Raw genomic sequence first — 18,267 nt, forward strand, 5'->3', positions numbered from 1 at the left:
GGCTGGTGTGTCAGGGACAAATGTCAGCTCCCACATCCCTTGGTAAAGTGTGACTGGGTACATCAGATTTAGATTAAATTATCCTGAAACTATTTTTTTTTCTTTTTTTGAGACAGAGTCTCACTCTGTCACCCAGGCTGGAATGCAGTGGAGTGAGGTCAGCTCACTGCAACTTCTGCTTCCCAGGTTCAAGCAATTCTCCTGCCTCAGCCTCCTGAGTAGCTGGGATTATAGGCACCTGCCACCAAGCCCAGCTAATTTTTGGATTTTTTTAGTAGAGACAAGGTTTCACCATGCTGGCCAGGCTGGTCTCAAACTCCTGACCTCAAGTGATCTGCCTGCCGTAGCCTCCAAAAGTGCTGGGATTACAGGTGTGAGCCACAGCACCCCGCCCCTCAAACTATTTTGTAGCTTGCATTATATAGATCAAACACCTTCATTGCACTTACATCTCTAGTATTGTATTTACTTAAATAATGATTATCAATAGCAACTCATTTAATCCTTATAAACCCTGGGAACTGGGTACCATTATCCCTCCCATTTTACAGATGAGGAAACTGAAACACAAAGAGAGGATATGTAACTTGCCCAGCGCTGAAGACTCCCACCAGGCACAGCGCGCCTAGAATCTGTGCTCCCTGTCACCACAGTAGACAATTGTACTCCAGCATCAACAATGAAAATCACTTTTCACTGACTTAAGTATTATTCCTTCTCCAAGTTGATCTTCCACTGGTCTAACTTAGATTCTAGCCTTTAGGCAAGAGTATCTTGTTATGAGACGTGTAATTTGTTTCCTTTCAGGTGCCTTGCAACACAACTCTGTTTATCTCATAAGCAGTTTTAAATGCTATTTAAATTCTGACAAGGCTGAGTCCTGTACTGTGTGATTACAGAGCAAGCACTAACTCACAAAGCTACTGTGTCCTGATTATTTCTCTAATTGTAGAGTAATTTAAGGAAGAAGGAATATATCAGCAATAACCGTAAAATGATGATGATAATGGCAGTTCTGATGTTCATACCCAACAAAGAAATCAGCAATATAACTACTGAAAGGGTGTAGATAAAATTTGTAAATACTTGCGGATTATGTGTATGTCTAATCCAAAAAGTCAGTCTCAAACTGAGAGTTCAGTAAGATAGTTTGTAATAACAGAAACAAAAAACCAAAGCATTCCTATATCCTACCGTAATGATTTTTTTTTGAGACGGTGTATCGCTCTTGTTGCCCAGGCTAGAGTGCAATGGCATGATCTCGGCTCACTGCAACCTCTGCCAACTGAGTTCAAGTGATTCTCCTGCCTCAGCCTCCCGAGTAGCTGGGATTGCAGGTATGCACCACCACGCCCAGCTAATTTTGTATTTTTAGTAGAGACAGGGTTTCACCATGTTGGTCAGGCTGGTCTCAAACTCCTGACCTCGGGTGATCCACCCGCCTCGGCCTCCCAAAGTGCTGGGATTACAGGCATGAGCCACCGCGCCCAGCCTGATTTTTTAAATAATGGAAAAAATGATAAAATCCCACTCAATGTTGCATGTAGGAATAAAGAAAAATGCAGGGCCTATATGAAGACCATAATAATTTACTGAAGGACATAGTCAGTTGAAAAATGCAGAGAGCAATACCTTGTCTCTGAACAAGAAAACTCCACATTAAAAAGACACGGATCCATCCCCAAATAAATGATAAATACAGTTGGCCCTTTGTGTCTGTGGGTTCCACATTCATGGATTCAACCCATCTCAAATCAAAAATATTTGGGAAAAAAAAAGGCTGGGTGCAGTGGCTGGCCAGGCACAGTGGCTCAGGCCTGCAATCCCAGCACTTGGGAAGGCCAAGATGGGAGGGTCGCTTGAGGCCAGGAGTTCAAGACCAGCCTGGTCAACACAGTGAGGCCCCATTGCAATAAATAAATAAGAAAATATTTGGAAAAAAAATGGATGGTTGCCTCTGTACTGAACATGTACAGACGTTTTTCTTGTCATTATTCTCTAAACAATACAGTCTAACAACTATTTACATAGCATTTACATTGTATTAGGTATGAACAGGAACCTAGAGATGATTCAAGTACACAGGAGGATATGCACAGGTTATGTGCAAATACTCCACCATTTATGCTCAGAGACTTGAGCATCTCCAATTTTGGTATCCCAGTGGTTGGAAGGGGTCCTAGAACCAATGCCCCTTGAATACCGAGGGACAACTGCATAATGCATTTCAAATAAAATCTCAGTTTAGAGGGGAAGGTTGGTTGAAAGCTTAACAAATAGACTCTAGGCCAGCGTGGTGACACATGCCTGTAATCCCAGCGCTTTGGGAGATTGAGGTGGGCCCATCACTTGAGCCCAGGAGTTGGAGACCAACCTGGGCAACATGGTGAAACCCCATCTCTATAAAAATACAAAAATTAGCCAGGCAAGGTGGCACAGGCCTGTGGTCCCAGCTACTCCAGAGGCTGAGATGGGAGGATCACTTGAGCCCAAGAGGTGGAGGCTGTAGTGAGCCATGATCACGCCACTGCACTCCAGGCTGGGTAGCACAGTGAGACCCTGTGTCAAAAACAACAACAACAATGACAAAAAGAAAAAAAACAAATAGACTCCTGAGTTAATCTGGAAGAATAAATGGAGAGGCTGGCCAAGAAATTTTTGAAAAAACATAACAGGGGTAGTTTTCAACTTTTTTGTAGCCCACAGCTTCTTTATTCAAACACAATCTCACCTCCCTGTTCAAATACTTTCAGTGGGTCCTTTACTGCTTCCTGAATAAAGTCCAAGTTCCTTAACCTGCGTACTGTAAAAAGAGCATTCTGACAATATCCAAGGGTGTTCAAAAAGCAATGTTTACAACTCCCACAGTTCTACCACTTCGGCAGAGCAGCCCTGTGTTTATTCTGCATGTCCTTCTGGTCTTTGCATGCCTATGTCTTTTACACAGTCCTATTCTTTTTTTTCTTTTTTGAGATGGAGTCTCGTTCTGTGACCCAGGCTGGAGTACAGTGGTGTGATCTTGGCTCACTGCAACCTCCGCCTCCTGGGTTCAAGCGATTCTCCCACCTCTGCCTCCTGAGTAGCTGGCATTACAGGCCCATGCTACCATGCCTGTCTAATTTTTGCATTTTTAGTAGAGACGGGGTTTCACCACATTGGCCAGGCTGATCTTGAACTAGTGACCGCAGGTGATCTGCCTGCCTCAGCCTCCCAAAGTACTGGGATTACAGGTGTGAGCCACCGTGCCCGGCCGCAGTCCTATTCTTTTTTTTTTTTTTTTTTTGAGACGGAGTCTCGCTCTGTCGCCCAGGCTGGAGTGCAGTGGCGGGATCTCGGCTCACTGCAAGCTCCGCCTCCCGGGTTCACGCCATTCTCCTGCCTCAGCCTCCCAAGTAGCTGGGACTACAGGCGCCCGCCACTACGCCCGGCTAATTTTTTGTATTTTTAGTAGAGACGGGGTTTCACCGTTTTAGCTGGGATGGTCTCGATCTCCTGACCTCGTGATCCGCCCGCCTCGGCCTCCCAAAGTCCTATTCTTAATTGTGTTCATCTGAGGACTAAGAACTCCACAAGCTTGGCTTTGGGAATAGCAGTAAAGCAACAACACAGTGCTGGGCTCGAAGACGGACAGCTGCCTGAAAGACGGCAGAAGCTCCCTGAGTGTGCCAAAAGCACTGATGAAGTTTTAAACCTAGTCCAAGCTAACTGAGTGATGCTAGACCTTCCCGCAACTTCTCTAACCTGGATGTAAATTGTAATTCTAGAGCCCCTTGTTTTGCGGGAAAAAAATAATCTGTGTATGGTCAAATAGCAGATGGAATGAGCTGCCAGACGGAATCTTTTGCCAGTGCAACGGAACAAAGTACTTGTTCATGCCAGGCTCAGGTCCCCTGTTACTTGCAGTCCTCCGGGCAGTCCTGTCTGCTGGCTGTCTCTCTCCCTGCTTTACGTAGGAAGCTGGAAGAGGTCAGGGGATTTCCTTGAAATTACAGGCTAGTGAATGGCAGAACAGGAGCTCGAGCCTGATTATCTGCTAAACCTCTGCTTTGGAGCTTTGAGGCCTTCTGCACAGGTCACTTGCATTCTCTGTGTAGGGGTGCAGGGTTGTTTTCTCTCCCATCGGCTTACTCTTGGATTGGGCCTTCCCAGAGGTGCCGAGAAGCAAAACCCAGTTCTTTGATCTTCTCACTTCAGCTGTTCTTTCTTCCAGCCAACTTCCAGGATTACATCCCTTGGTGTGACCACACCACATCTGAAATCTCAACTCCCCACTTCCCACCCAGTGACCTGCACCTCCTGTCTTTCAATGCTCCTGGCGCTGACTTTCTTGCCGTCCCTGACAAGCAGCCCTGCCTTCAAGTTCTCACTGGATGAAAGAAGAAGGCAACAGATGTTAGATGCCGTGTGCACATATTCCCATCTTGACCATTCTTTCTGTGCATGCTTTGCTGTGGAACTGTTGGGGCCCCATCCAGCTGTATAAGCTGAGACATGAATGTGCTTCCACAGTGTGGGCACCTCGGATGCAGGTACAGGCCCCTCTAGATCCAGGGCCACTTGGCAATGTCTGAGATATTTTTGGTTGTAACAGCTGGGGTGGAGAGCGCTGCCAGCATCTGGTGGGTGGAGCCAGGAACGCGGCTAGCCATCCTGCAATGCACAGGACAGCCGCCCACGACAAGGAACTGTGCAACCCCAAACGTCAGGGGACCCTGCTCTTTATCAATCCTAGGGTTTCCCAAAAAGCCCGACAGCACATTTGATACAGATGCCACCAACGGGGTGGAGACAAGGGGCGAGGGCTTCAGTGGAATCTCAGCAACTAAAATCAAGCCGACGGTCAGGTCAGAGAAGCATTTGGAAAGCCTCCAGTGCGTTTAGGGGACCACGCCCTCTCATCATGCCAAGGCAGCTGCCCAGTGAGGTACAGGGTATAAAGGTGACGTGGTCAGGAGTGGCTATTTGATCTCCAGTTATTCCAGAATTTCCACTCTCGTGCCAAGCATGTCTCTCCAAATGGCTGCTCTCTGGCGTTCCTCACACTCCCCCTGAAGTTCATCTAAGATCTTCATTCTTCAAAGGTGAGGCTTGTATGTTCTATGTCCAAGTCTTCTCTAAAGATATCCAATTTGTACACATGGAGAACATTTTTTGTACTCGAATAGTTGATGACTTTGCTTTGAGCTATCTCTCAAGGGCCAAAGTGCAAAAGGGCAAACCCTTCTATTAGAGTGTGGGTCTATGTTTTTAGTGTTATGCCGAAGTGTGTTTTAGCCTTTATTTTCCTTTATGGAAATTCATTTTCTTGGAAAGATCATTTTGGGGATGCTGTTTTAGGATTTCTGTACCTTCAGCTGGAAGGATGCTCACCGTTCCTGATGTTCATGTCTGCCCTTCAGTCAGGGAGCCTGGAAGCCAAGTTGCTTAGTGGCAGTGCTTTACTTTTAAGCCTTCGAATACATCTTGAGTACCTTAAACTTCTCTGTATGCTATGGGTACTGTTTAAATTCAGATTATGGAGTCCTATTCTCCCCACACTTCTTTTTTTTGTGAATGACATTTATCAATGACATTTGTAGCGTGGTGGATTCTGAAGTTTTCAGCTAGTAGCGTAAAGATTTATTTCATGGCTCTGACTGTCAGGAATATTCTCTTTTCTAGAATGTTAAACTCATAGGCAGGATTACTGAGGCAAAGCCACATAAATGAGGGAATCTCTGGAAAAAATACATTGCTTTTATTTTGTACTAAAATTGCCATTTTTTTTTTTTTTTTGGCCAAGTATAGTGGCTCACACCTGTAATCCCAGCACTTTGGGAGGCCGAGGCGGGTAGATCTCTCGAGGCCAGGAATTCAAGACCAGCCTGGCCAACATGGTGAAACCCCATCTCTATTAAAAATACAAAAAAAAAGTAGTTGGGTGTGGTGGCACACACCTGTAGTCCCAGCTACTTGGGAGGCTGAAGCAGGAGAATCACTTGAACCCAGGAGGCGGAGGCTGCAGTGAGCCGAGATCACACCACTGCACACCAGCCTAGGCTACAGAGCAAGACTATCTCAAAAAAAACAAATTGCCATTTTCTATTCCTAAGTATATATTGAAGCATTTGATTTATTTCTTCTCAGTGGGGTATACTGTTAGCTGGTGAATGCAGTTGTTGAGGATGAAGCTTATTTCCCCATGTCAGCATCTATTCTGAACATTTTAAATGAACTATTCTGAGAGCATGTATAGATTTTTTTTTTCTTCACAGGAGAGCTGCCTTAGGAGGACTTTTCAGAGTTTGTGCCTGTAAGACTGAGAAATACATAATGGATTTTAGCTGTCGTGTTTTTAGAAGGTAATTGGTAGATATTTGCAGTGCATTGTCTTCATGAAAAACAAAATTGGGCCTGGTGCGGTGGCTCAGACCTGTAATTCCAACACTTTGGGAGGCCAAGGTTAGTGGATTGCTTGAGCCCAGGAGTTCAAGATCACCCTGGGCAACATGCTGAAACCCTGTCTCTGAAAAAAAAAAAAAAATTAGCCAGGCGTGGTGGTGCACACCTGCAGGCCTAGCTACTTGGGAGGCTGAGTTGGGAGGATAGCTTGAGACAAGGTTGCAGTGAGCCAAGGTTGTATGTAGTGAGCCAAGATTGTGCCATTGCACTCCAACCTGACACTCAACAGTGTGAGACCTTGTCTCCCTACCCTCCCCCCCCCACACAAAAAAACCCCAAAAATCAGAAGTGGTTTTCTTAGAGATGCTTTACTGGAGGTGTTTGTGGCCATTTCCTTGGCTACTGTGTATAGAGGAGGTTACTGTGGTCACTCTGGTATGGACTTAAAAAGCATCAATTCTGTGGAACACACTGGGAAAGCGGATACATTTAGGATTGCTATAGACTTATTCCTAGACACTTTTTGAGATGAGTTTAATTCCAGAGTAAAATACATTAGAAATTATTTTAAGTATGCCTCAGAGTGTATCACAAAACAACATTTAATGGTGTAATGTAACGCCATGGAAGGGCTCTGAGCTCAGGTACAGTGCACCTTGACTGGGACACATACAGCTCTGAGGCAGGTCCTTCAATATTGGGTCCTCCTGCTCCTTATCCTCCCTCAACTCTGCCATCCACTCTTCCTGCACAGGAAGCTCTGCATCTAGTTATCTGCCCTCTCCTGGCCACTTTGGTGTCCTCATTCCCATGGAGCTCACAATCGGATCAAATCCTGAGTCAGTACAAGATGCCAGTGCCTGCAGCTCCCCTCCCCGCTCCCCACACCCAGCCTTTGGTCGGCAGCCCCTCAGGCCTTGCCCCACCCACTCCATCTTTTCTCACTGTCCTTTCAGCCTCCAGACAGGCTCACATCTCTTCCATCCTTAAAAACCGACAAACCATGAATAAATCTCCCCCATGCAAAGCCTTTTCCTTGGTCCCGCCTTCCTTCAAGGCTGCCGTCTACCATTTATTACACATGCACAAATCACAGAAAATGTTTAATTGCCAAATTTTAATGGCAGAATGTAATGACCAGTGTTTTTCTAGTTGCAAATTAAAGTCTTTCCTGACCTTGCTCTCTTCACTCTGTGGCTTCCAGGAGATGTCTCTATTTTCTGACTCTCTAACTACCCCTTCTCTGTCTTGACTTGTTCTTACACACCTCTTATCCTTCCCATGTAAGTGTCTCAAGGTTCCTTCCTTCAGGCTCCTTTCTGTTCTGTGCATGCTGCCTGATTTTATCATCACCTTTAACTAATCGGTAGTGTGTGCTGAGGTGCCTGTTAGACTCCTCCACTGAGGCTTTCTGCCTCCAATTCAAATTCAGTTCAATCAATAATCAAACCCATCACCTTCCTTAGAAAATCTAAAGAGATTTAAAAAGCAAAAACAATAAAAGACCTATTAGATGAAAAATAAGTGTGATGAATTGCTGGGTGCTAGGTAGTTATGAAAAAATATCCTAAAGACATGTCATTTTTAAAAGAGTTTCTATTCCCAATTGCTACAGAAGTATAAAATACTGAAGATCAATGAGAATTAATGACAATTCATCAAAGTCCTCCATTTTGTTAGGAAAACCATTCATCCATCTATCCATCTACCCACCCATCATTTATAAGGCACCTACCATGTTCCAAGCAGTGAGAACATGCTTTTAATCGGGAGAGCCCATTCATAACCTGGGGGTGGGGGCTGAGGGAGGTGGTGGGAGAGGTTCAGTACCCAGGTCACAGGGCAGCTGTGGGAAGGCTGCATGCTGCCATATGTAAGCCCGGCACTGGAGCTGTTGTGGATGCTGGAGACAAGCTCACTGTTGCTTTCCAGACGCTCTTGCTCTTCTGTCCACCGGAGGCAGTCAGGACCCTGGCCTGAGGGCCAAGAATACTTTGTGCCTGAGCTGGACCAGCTGGCCGTGGGGTACCACCTTCTTTGCAGACAGCAGGCAGGGTCTGGATCCCCTGCTTGATGCTCCTACCAGTGCCCCTAGTCTTACTGGGAGATCCGGCTCCTGGCATTGACCTGGGTGTGTGCCCTGCTTTGCCAGTGCCCCTGGAGTGGGAGGTGTGGTCACTGGTCCACCAGGAAGACAGCTAAGGGCATTCGTTGAGTCCACGTGATGACTTTCTGCTCTGAGTGAGGCCCCTGGATGGCTGGGAGGAAGGAAGCAGCTCTGCGTCAGGCGGCGTGCCGCTGGTGCATTCCATCATGATGTGCTAAGGGCTGAGGAGACCTGGGTTGAAAACCTAGCTTCGCTCTTCCAATGTGCATCTGTGGACAAGTGCTATAACCTCTGTGAGCCTCAGTGTGTGGATAAAGTCTGTTGTAAACTGAAAGGTGCTGTGTAAATTTCAAGTGATCATTTCATGAGCCACACGTATAACAGATGTGTTTTTAGATATTAGTCAAAGGGATCCAAATAGGCCAGGTGTGGTGGCTTACACCTGTAATCCCAGCACTTTGGGAGGGTGAGGCGGGTGGTTCACTTGAGGTCAGGAGTTCGAGACCAGCCTGGCCAACATGGTGAAACCCCATCTCTACTAAAAATACAAAACTAGCTGGGCGTGGTGGCGCACACCTGTAATCCCAGCTACTCAGGAGGCTAAGGCAGGAGAATTGCTTGAGCCTGGGAGGCGGAGGCTGCAGTAAGCCAAGATCATGCCACTGCACTCCAGCATGGGTAACAGAGCGAGACTCCATCTCAAAAAAAAAAAAAAAAAAAAAGAGGTGATCCAAATAAAGCAATAACATGAATGTAAGCTCATGGTTTGTAGAAGTAATTTACTGACATTTATTCTGCTGTCATGAGTATGGCTAGTGATTCACGTTCATGAAAAACAGATGTTAGGGCTCTGATTTAGAAAAATGACTTCATGTTAGTTATCTGACTAATGGGGAGGCTGAGAGCCACTGTGTCCTCCCCGTCTGCCCTCAGCCTTGTGTTGTCATCCCTGTAAGGGTTTGTCTCTGTAGCCCCAAACCACAGTGGGAGGCGCAGCTAGTGAACCTTGCAACAGACTAACACCATGGAGACAAAGTAAACCATGTTTGGGTGTGGCCCCAAATTGGCTAACTGTTCTGGCATTTTCTGGTTAGCTATGATTCTGATGTTCCTAGAACAAAATTAGACCATGCTACTGGCCTTTCGTTCTTTTCTCAGGAGTCTCCTATACTTCTGAGAATGGATTTTTAGATTTCAGACATGTAATTTTCATTGAGAGGGCACAGAGGAAGACAAAGTTATATCACAGGCCTGGCAACTTTTAAGGATGCCCTCTGAGGCAGTCAGACAAAACCCAAAGTACCCTCTCAGTGCAGAGATTCTGGGCTTAACCAGTGATGTCGGGAGGTCAGTTCTGTGTGTCTACAGGCCATTAACTGCAGTTTGGAAGGGGCCATAAATTCCAAGGCACTTGTTAGAAGGGGCTGTCCCTGGATCATCCTTACCAAAAGAAGGAGGAAGTCAAGCCCTGGTCACTGACCTCTCAGCTCTTTAGTTAAGACCCTGGGCCCCATGCTGGTATGGTCCAGATGGACCCCCTTTTTTTTTTTTTTCTTTTTTTTTTTTTTTTTGAGACAGAGTCTCACTCTGTTGTCCAGGCTAGTAGAATGCAGTGGCATGATCTCAGCTTACTGCAACCTCCACCTCCTGTGTTCAAGTGATTCTCATGCCTCTGCCTCCCAAATAGCTGAGATTACAGATGTGCACCACCACACCCAGCTAACTTTTGTATTTTTAGTAGAGATGGGGTTTTGTCATGTTGGCCAGGCTGGTCTCGAACTCCTGGGCTCAGGTGATCCACCCTCCTCGGCCTCCCCAAGTGCTGGGATTACAGGTGTGGGTCACTGTGCCTGGCCCCAGATGCACCCTCTTCCGAGGAAACCCCCCACCCCCCTGCTCAGACCTTTCCAAGGTGCCCTCGGGGTTTTAGTTTTGTCTTCGAGGTGTATGATTTAACGTTACTCTGCCAAGCCATCTTTAGAGCTGTGAGTACTGGGATGAACATTTTGTGTATCTCCATGTTTCTATAAAATGCCACCTTTCAGAGCCACACCCACACCCTGACTTCTGACCCGGCCTTCCCATGCGTCAAGTTTGTGGGTTCCAGTCACCCATTCACCACCCTCACAATTGACCTTGCTCTACGTTGAAAAAAAAAAAAAAGACTGGGGGTGGGAGAGGGGACTACCTCAGAAGGGGGCTTCAAGAAGGGGACTTTAAAGTTACCTGTATTATTTAGGTTGGCGTAAAAGTATTGCATTTTTCGCTGTTAATTTTAATGGAAAAACTGCAATTACTTTTGCACCATCCTAATAAAACTGGGAGGCAACTGTGGATCCTCTGCATTTTATTCCTGGGGCTCTGGGATCTAAAAACACCAAGAAAGATGTATTAGCATTCAACTTACAGTATAGACTTTGCTCTTGAGCTGGGGATGGTTCTGAGACTTCCACCTCACAGGACTGGCTGGGCTGAAACCCAAGTCAGAATGTAGCATCCTCTCATCTAGAAGGGTGTCAGGATGGCAGTTTTCTTTAATATGCTACTACTTAGCAGAATCAGAAACCAGCCATTATTTTATTGCTGGTAATGTTCATTTGTTCCTGGGACTAAGACTCATCAGCTCGCTGCTTCTTACTCTGTGAGTGTCCTGGCATGGTCCCCTCCCTGCCACCTACATCCTCTGCAGCAGCCCCTTCCCACAGCTGTTGTGGCAGGCAGTGGGTTTGTTCTCTTTCCTGGGCTGCCCACAGTCTTGCTGCCTGGCCCATCCCAGTTCTTGGTCTGGTGCCCAGCTTCCTTCCTGCTATGGAGGAGGAGGAGGAGGCCTGGGCACCTTGAGTCAGGGCACCTACCAAGGGGACTCTATCTGGAAAAGAGGGGACTCCAGAGGCAGCAAGGCAGGTGCTGGTTTGCTTTTACTGGACTCCCAGGACACTAGGCAGCAGGCTAGCAGGGCAGCTCACCCTGACTGTGCCCAGCGGGATCCCCGTGTTAGAGCCTTTGGTCCTCACCCTCACAGCGGGCACTGTCATTATCACCGGCATGTTTTGGGTAAGACTCCAGGCACAGAAGCTAAGTAACTTGCTCAATATCCCTTAGTGAGTGGCAGGGCCAGGAACTGAACGAGGTGGCTTAATTCCAGAGCCCACTTCTTAATCCCTTCCCTGTATGGTTTTCAGAAGCTGGTAACTAGCAATTGACTGGCAGCCTGGGGGTTAGGAAAATGTGTCTTGTGGCAATTACAGGTGTCTTCAAGCATTGCCTCAGGGACATGCCAAGGGAACGGAAACCAGTCCCAGTACCCTGCTCTGGGAGATGTGGTCACAGGGTTCGGGGTGTTGAGTAGCTTTAGAATCTGCCTATCTAGATCAGAATATTCAAAATCAAGTCTCAGAAGAAGAGGGCTGTTTTATTAATGGGTTATCATTCTCATCAGTGAAGTTGTGACCACTGGTAAAAGTCTAACTGCTTTCTACAATAAATTCCCAGAGAACATTTAAAATTATTTTCTCCAAATAATTGCACTTTAAACAATCAAGAATTGTGATAGGCCAGGCGCGGTGGCTCACACCTGTAATCCCAGCACTTTCGGAGGCCAAGGCAGGCAGATCATTTGAGGTCAGGAGTTCGAAACCAGGCTGGCTAACATGGTGAAACCCCGACTCTACTAAAAATACAAAAATGAGCCGGGCATGGTGGCAGGTGCCTGTAATCCCACCTACTCGGGAGGCTGAGGCAGGAGAATCGCTGGAACCCGGGAGGCAGAGGTCGCGGTGAGCCGAGATCGCGCCATTGCACTCCAGCCTGGGCGACAGAGCGAGACTCCATCTCAAAAAAAAAAAAAAGAAAGAAAGAAAGAATTGTTATAACAACATTTAAATAAGCGTTACAGGGAGAAAACAAGCTATTGAAAGGTAGGCATTTCATTATCTTTGAAAGTTGCTTTTGTGAGCCTGAGATGCTGTCAATCAAAGACAGCTTGGCCTCTGTTCATCTTAAGTTCAACGTTTCTTCCCCAGCGGTTCTCTAGGCCTTTGCTCGGCCCCTCTTTTCCTTCTCCCCTATCCCTCCCAAGTCGTCCTTCGGCTCCTCAGCACCCATTTTCCCTGCTGCACACCCTCCTGACAACTCCTGCCCTGAAGCCCTGGGCCCGGGTCACGGCGGGAAGGTGAGTGCTCACAGGCGCGAGCTCACGTTACCAAGTTGGGTCAGCGTGCAGAGAAAAGGGAATTGGGAATTGGAGGGCTGTAAAATGTAAATGTGCTTTAAATTTTACATTTCCTGGCGTGGCCAGGACAGGCTGACCTTCCGATTACAATCCGCGTCATCCCGTCGCTTCTGCCCCCAGCCTGGCGAGGTCGGGAACCGTTTCCCGCAGGACTTTCATTGGGAGTTACGAGGGCGCCCTGTGCCTGGAGGTGGCGCGGGCTGGAGCCCTCCCGGAGGAGACCGGCGCCTGGCAGGGGGTCGTCGCGGCCGCAGCCTGGACGGTGTGGACCCCGGGTTCTGCGACGCCAGATCGGCCCCAGCGGCCCGCACCCGCACCCTGCAAGCTCGTTCTCCCCTGCGGGCCGCCGCACCGGGCCAAGGGGGGCTGTGTGCACGCAGCTGCGTCGTCCTGGAAGTCGGCCCTTCTCGGGATGCCGCGTTAGTGGGGTGCCCGGCCGGCAGGTGCAGCGGTGCTGGGGCCTAGGCTTCCGCGTCCAGGAAGCTCAGCGTGGCCTGAGGGTGATGGATGTGGGGGAGCCGGGAACTCATACCCTCGCCCAGCCCCGGGCAGGTCCCCCCCCGGAGGGGACCCCCTCTTCGGGTCGACCCCTACTGGGCGCGGCATCCTCCCCGGAGCGCCCGCTTCCCACGGCCCCTGCGGGTGGAGCTGCGGCCGGAGCCTGAGGGGTCTTTTCCTCCAGGTCCTCTTTCCGGCGGGGGCCGGAGGGGTGGTGATGGACAGCCCGGGAGGGGCGGGGCAGGACCAGGAAGATCCTTCCGAGACGGAGCGCGGGGGGCGGGGCGGGGCTCGCGTTAAGGGAGCGCGGAAGGGCGGGACAGGCCGTGGGGCGGGGCCTGGGTGGGGCGGAGCCGGTGGGGGTGGGGAAAGGGGCGTAACCGGGAGGGACCCTCCGAGGCGGAGCGGCGCAGGGGGGCGGGGAAGGCGGGTCATGGGGCGGGGGCGGTGGGGCGAGTCATGGGGCGGGGACGGGGCGGGGCGTAGCCGGGAGGGCCCCTCCGAGGCGGAACTGCGTGGGGGGCGGGGCGGGCCGTGGGACGGGCGGAGGCGCCCGAGTCCCGCTTCCCCGGCGCCCTTCCACCCCGAGCCCGACTCAGCCCGCGGCCACCTGCGCCCCGCCCCTGTCGGCCGCGCCCGAGCCCAGCGCCGCGAGCCGCTCCCCGGCGGGCTGGCTCCTGGCCCCGGAAGCGCGAGCGTTCACTTAGCGGCGAGTGGCTCCGTCTCCGCGGACAGAGCGCGCGCCCCCTGGCCCGGCCCGCGAGGGGCTCCCGGCGCGGTCCCCGAGCATTTCCCGCCGGGTGGAGCGGGCCGAGCCCGGCAGGATGACCAGCCCCGCGGCCGCTCAAAGCCGGGAGATCGACTGTTTGAGCCCGGAAGCGCAGAAGCTGGTAAGAGGAAAGCGCTTCCGAAACTTTCTTTCGTGACTGCGGCGGGGTTTCAGGGGCTTCCAGCTCGTTCCGAGGTCAATGGCAGGCGCAGGTGCCCGGGAGGCGTGGGGTGGGCTCTGGCGGGACCCCAGCGCGGTGGGAGCGGGCGCAGTGGGCGCGGGTCCGTGAGTGGCCCGGCGAGCGGCGTCCCTCATGCGCTAGGAAGCACGCTTTATTGTGGGACGCCACCTCCAAGGACGAAAAGGCACATGGTCTCTCCCCGCCCGAGGTGATGGGCTGCAGACAGGCTCTGACCAGGTCTGCGCCTGGCCTGGAGTCACAGGGAGCTGCTAGTTTGCTATTTTACAAAATACAGCATCAAGGACCGGGTGGCCAGAGCCGGTGCCCTCACCCGCTGTTGGAACCACCGGGGAGCGGCTGGGGTGCTTTGGAGCACTCAACCCGCTCAGCACCTGGGGACCACCTCCGCCGAGGACTCCAGACGCCAAATCCACTTTGGCTAGTCTCCCGGGTCCGCCCAGCGCGGACAGGATCCTGCCTCTAGGATTTTGCCGTTGTCCAGCTCAATATGCAGTCGTGGGGCTACGGCTGTAGTTTGGCATTAAAATTGGGCAGGGGATGAGGCGGAGAGGGTTTGCAAATACACATTTTCATGCAGCTTGTGGTTGAACATGAATGGGAATAAAAGTGAAAGGGTGCACTTTGGAAAAGAAATATAAAACCCTAGCTTTCCACTTAATCAGGTGTTCGTGGGATCTTGGTAAAAGTATGAGCCCCAAACAATCACTCTTTCATCAGGTAGAAATTAATCATCTACTGGGTGTGTGTGTAAGATTTAAGATGAATCAGACTGCCTTGACCTTGGGAGAGCTTATTAGGAAATGCCAGAGAGAGGTGTAGAAGTAGAGTCTGATGAACTCATACTGAAAAGCCAGTTCTTTGCTTGTCAGATGGTTGCTGTTTTTTAAATGTCCATTTTAGTGTGGTTTTTCTGTGACTTCGTTTAAAACTCTGGCAGTGGGCCAGCCCTCTGGAGCCGGTTTTTACCCCTTCAACTAATTAGTTCCTAGGGGCCTGGGAAGAGAGACCCTTGAATCACCATCAGGGAAGGGTTCTTGAAAGAAGGAAGGGTGGGAATGTGGTTGAGCGGTGCCAGTGTTCTGAGGAGCAGCCTGGGACACCATAGATGGCAGGAGGAGGATGGAGGTGAAGAGCTGCCTGCTGGACTTAGAGTCCTTGGAGAAGGGAAGAGTAAACATTGAGAACAGGATGTGAGGAAACTAGGGACAGGCTAATCAGAGGAGTAGGTAGAGGCACACCTGGAGCAGCTAAGGCACTGGCTACAGGGTCTATTACTTAAGGCTGGGAGCCTCCTGGGCGGGTCTGGGTTCAGATGACTTCGAGATGCTGCCGGGAGGAAGGGAGAGGAAAGTCTGGACTGTGTCCAACTGAGTAGTTATGTGATCAGCCCAGGCCCACTGTCCCTCACCCCCAGTTCCAGAACCCAATAAGCTTTGAAGACCGGAAGGTTTGTGTTTTGTTTTGTTTTTATAAGTTTGTGGCAGAATTTTGGCAGTGAGACTTGCCCTGTCCAATGGGGGGCTAGTTTTGGTCTTCACTGATCCCTCTGAGTGTGAATTTTCTTACGTTTCTCTGCAGTCTTGTTGATGTCTTTGATTAAGGGCTGCTACTCTGGGTTGTACCAGAATATATGGTGTATGCATCTTACTACGTTTCTAATGTCCAAAAATGCTGAATTCTGAATCATGGCCCCAAGGGTTTTCAGAGAGAAGTTGTGAACCTGTAGGAGCTTTTCTTGGTAAATGGTAGCAAAAACTGTATCAGAGTGAGACATGGTGAACAAAAGCAAAATGCAGTTCCTGTTAAGAGGCTAATGTTCAGGTAGGGAAGGAAATGTGCTGAGTGGTGATGGGAATTGGGGGTCATCATGGGTGGGGGGTAGGGCGTCACCCAGCGGCTGCCCTGGGCCATGGGCTGGGTATAGGCACAGGAAAGTGGTTGTGGGTGTTTCACACTGGTTTGTGCCAGTTCTTGCTCTGCATTGTGTCCGTGGGTTCAGGGATGGGTCTCCTGCGGAAAGGAGGGACTGGGGGCCGCACCCATGCAGAGGAGAGCCGGGTTGGTCAGAGGAAGTAGATTTGGCAAGCTCCACCTCAACTAGAAGACAAAAGCAGGATCTGAGTGGGAGCCTGGGCTTCTTCAGCAAGTGGGCACCAGCCCTGGAGCTGTAGGAGAGGGTCCGATGCGGACAGTGGAGACACTGTGCATTTCTGCAGCTTTTGTAACTTCCCTGTGTTTGCGATGGCTTGTGTCACCCCGCTCTCTTTCCACATACTGATTAGCATTCAGCCCTTCTAAATGACCAGCACTGTCCCAAGAAAGGGCTGTTAGGGGAGAGCGTGGACACACAGTCTCCCAAGTCCCATCTCATTATAGGTACCTGGGCCAGGGTCCCCAGGTGTGGGAGAGTGGAGTCTTGACCAATATGGGGATGAATCAGTTGGCACGAGGCGGGCTGGCCCTGCTCTAGCTCAGTCTGAGATGGTGGAGCGTGGAATCATATGGTGTGTGTTTTAGGCATGTCATTTCCCCGGGCAGGTAAGACATAAATATAGTAAGGTAGGTCTTTTCTAGTAGTATTGAGAGTGTCCTACTGGGGCAAAGATGGAGACTAAATTTCCCTTTTTCTTTAAGAGTCAGTTTCTGTTCAGCCTGAGTTAATATCCCACAGCGGAAGCCTCCTTAGCAAATTTCAAAAAACCCTGCAGTCTCAACTGCCACTTATGCTGAGCACAGGAAATCAAGTTATTTATAGTTGCAGAACGGTGTTTCAGCGAAGTTGATTGGAGAGTTACCTGATTATAGTGAGATTCTTATCCAATCCCTACAGAATTGTGAGACTAAATGTTGGTGCAGCATGTTTGGTCCTCAAAAGGCAATGTCCAAGAGGAACTTCTTATCCCCGAAAAATCAGGCTGTGTGACTCAGCAAAGGAATTGTTTATGACTGGTTACTCATATGCCAGTGCTTCCAGAATATCTGCTCGTATTTAAAGGAGTGATCTTGAAGCCCCAGAGGCCATAATGTTTAGATTACCAACCTCTTCACCAATCAGTAAGTCCATTACATCTCACTACGTGTTAGACATGGGACAGGAGAAGAGGATTTTTATTACCTCACTGTTATTACTGGAGGCCGCCCAAATTTGTTTTTTGTTTTTTTTTTTTAAATAAAGAAGCTTGTTTTCATGGAATGGACTTACTAGAACTTTTATTATTCAGACTACCTAGATAAAATTAAGTAAATTCGTTTCTTTCTCCCAAATTAAATATTTTGACTACATGCAAGATTTAATCATTCAAAATTGCCATGTATTTGATTATAGACCAGTAGTATAATCCCCCTGCCCCAGGCCAGATTCCAAAACAATAAACCAAAACACACACACACCTGGCAACAGAAATTATATGTATTCCGAGACTCATTCATTCATTTTGGAAAGGGCCAGTGTTTCCAGTGGTTTCTCCTTGGGATTGTAACTTTACAACTTTAAAACTAGGTAAGTAGTTTTCCCTTGAATCTAAAGTATAACTACTTTGTAGTAGAGAAGTAATTTATCTTAAATCACTATAATGAAGATTTACTCTTAATTTTAACCAAAATGTTTCATTTATTTGTGTAATGAAGATGATCAAAGCAACGCCACCTGTGATCCTTCTGTCTTTTTTACTGTATGTGGCACGTGGCTGTGTGATTTTCCTAGGGAAAGGAGTGGGCTTTCCCTGTGGGTTGAGAACCTCTGTCCCCCTCCTCTGAAGTTTCCCCAGTTTTTCCTGCTTCTCTGCTAGGTGGGTGCCTTAGCATGCTTGTCTTCTCATCGTGCTTCTAAACTTCTCTGAACCGGATTTATACTCTTAGGTCAGTAGCTGTCAAAGAAGACACTAAGTAGTGAAAGTAGCTAATATTTACCAAACCCCTGCTGCGCCCACCTGGTGTTTTATGTGAAGGTCTTCTCTAACCCTTGCTGTAACCTCATGGGGAGCAGATCGTTTTCTCTCAGTTTTTCAGATAAAGAGGAAACTGAGGCTCAGAAAGGTCAGGGACTTTCCAAGCCCTCACAGCTAGTCAGCAGTGGAGCC

General features: G+C 49.1%; 1 protein-coding gene and 1 long non-coding RNA gene across 51 annotated transcripts in view, besides 9 other annotated features; one reads left to right on the forward strand and one right to left on the reverse strand.

Moving 5' to 3' along the window:
• LRRFIP1 (LRR binding FLII interacting protein 1) overlaps window positions 1–18,267 on the forward strand; it is a 154,057-nt gene that overhangs the window by 50,828 nt on the left and 84,962 nt on the right. For 21 of the 50 annotated variants that reach the window (XM_047446326.1, XM_047446328.1, XM_047446329.1 and 18 more), the window contains exon 1: window positions 13,791–14,107. The exons of the other annotated variants lie outside the window; for them this stretch is intronic. In XM_047446326.1, the coding sequence (XP_047302282.1) occupies window positions 14,042–14,107 (66 nt within the window). In that variant the 5' untranslated portion in view covers window positions 13,791–14,041. Of the gene's footprint in view, window positions 1–13,790; window positions 14,108–18,267 lie in introns of those variants that run through there. 50 annotated transcript variants of the gene reach the window in all.
• Window positions 7,944–8,445: an enhancer, noted in NCBI's record as "H3K4me1 hESC enhancer chr2:238595001-238595502 (GRCh37/hg19 assembly coordinates)". NCBI's record gives its function as "activates a minimal SCP1, AML or CMV promoter by ChIP-STARR-seq in naive H9 embryonic stem cells {active_cell/tissue: H9 hESC(naive)}" and the evidence as "EXISTENCE:reporter gene assay evidence [ECO:0000049][PMID:30033119]".
• Window positions 7,960–13,382, reverse strand: LOC124906128 (uncharacterized). The gene is made up of 2 exons (XR_007088145.1): window positions 10,896–13,382; window positions 7,960–8,639 (listed from the first exon to the last, which is right to left on the reverse strand). It is a non-coding gene; the product is annotated as an uncharacterized LOC124906128 (long non-coding RNA).
• Window positions 8,355–8,424: an enhancer, noted in NCBI's record as "active region_17369". NCBI's record gives its function as "activates an Ori minimal core promoter by ATAC-STARR-seq in GM12878 lymphoblastoid cells {active_cell/tissue: GM12878}" and the evidence as "EXISTENCE:reporter gene assay evidence [ECO:0000049][PMID:35858748]".
• Window positions 8,446–8,945: an enhancer, noted in NCBI's record as "H3K4me1 hESC enhancer chr2:238595503-238596002 (GRCh37/hg19 assembly coordinates)". NCBI's record gives its function as "activates a minimal SCP1, AML or CMV promoter by ChIP-STARR-seq in naive H9 embryonic stem cells {active_cell/tissue: H9 hESC(naive)}" and the evidence as "EXISTENCE:reporter gene assay evidence [ECO:0000049][PMID:30033119]".
• Window positions 12,666–13,541: an enhancer, noted in NCBI's record as "H3K27ac-H3K4me1 hESC enhancer chr2:238599723-238600598 (GRCh37/hg19 assembly coordinates)". NCBI's record gives its function as "activates a minimal SCP1, AML or CMV promoter by ChIP-STARR-seq in naive H9 embryonic stem cells {active_cell/tissue: H9 hESC(naive)}" and the evidence as "EXISTENCE:reporter gene assay evidence [ECO:0000049][PMID:30033119]".
• Window positions 12,666–13,554: a biological region, named in NCBI's record as "H3K27ac-H3K4me1 hESC enhancer GRCh37_chr2:238599723-238600598".
• Window positions 12,725–12,774: an enhancer, noted in NCBI's record as "active region_17370". NCBI's record gives its function as "activates an Ori minimal core promoter by ATAC-STARR-seq in GM12878 lymphoblastoid cells {active_cell/tissue: GM12878}" and the evidence as "EXISTENCE:reporter gene assay evidence [ECO:0000049][PMID:35858748]".
• Window positions 12,975–13,554: a silencer, noted in NCBI's record as "silent region_12479". NCBI's record gives its function as "represses an Ori minimal core promoter by ATAC-STARR-seq in GM12878 lymphoblastoid cells {active_cell/tissue: GM12878}" and the evidence as "EXISTENCE:reporter gene assay evidence [ECO:0000049][PMID:35858748]".
• Window positions 13,565–14,104: a silencer, noted in NCBI's record as "silent region_12480". NCBI's record gives its function as "represses an Ori minimal core promoter by ATAC-STARR-seq in GM12878 lymphoblastoid cells {active_cell/tissue: GM12878}" and the evidence as "EXISTENCE:reporter gene assay evidence [ECO:0000049][PMID:35858748]".
• Window positions 16,168–16,347: an enhancer, noted in NCBI's record as "active region_17371". NCBI's record gives its function as "activates an Ori minimal core promoter by ATAC-STARR-seq in GM12878 lymphoblastoid cells {active_cell/tissue: GM12878}" and the evidence as "EXISTENCE:reporter gene assay evidence [ECO:0000049][PMID:35858748]".

Source organism: Homo sapiens, chromosome 2, assembly GCF_000001405.40.
Source record: "Homo sapiens chromosome 2, GRCh38.p14 Primary Assembly".
In the NCBI taxonomy this organism is placed as follows: Eukaryota; Metazoa; Chordata; class Mammalia; order Primates; family Hominidae; genus Homo; species Homo sapiens.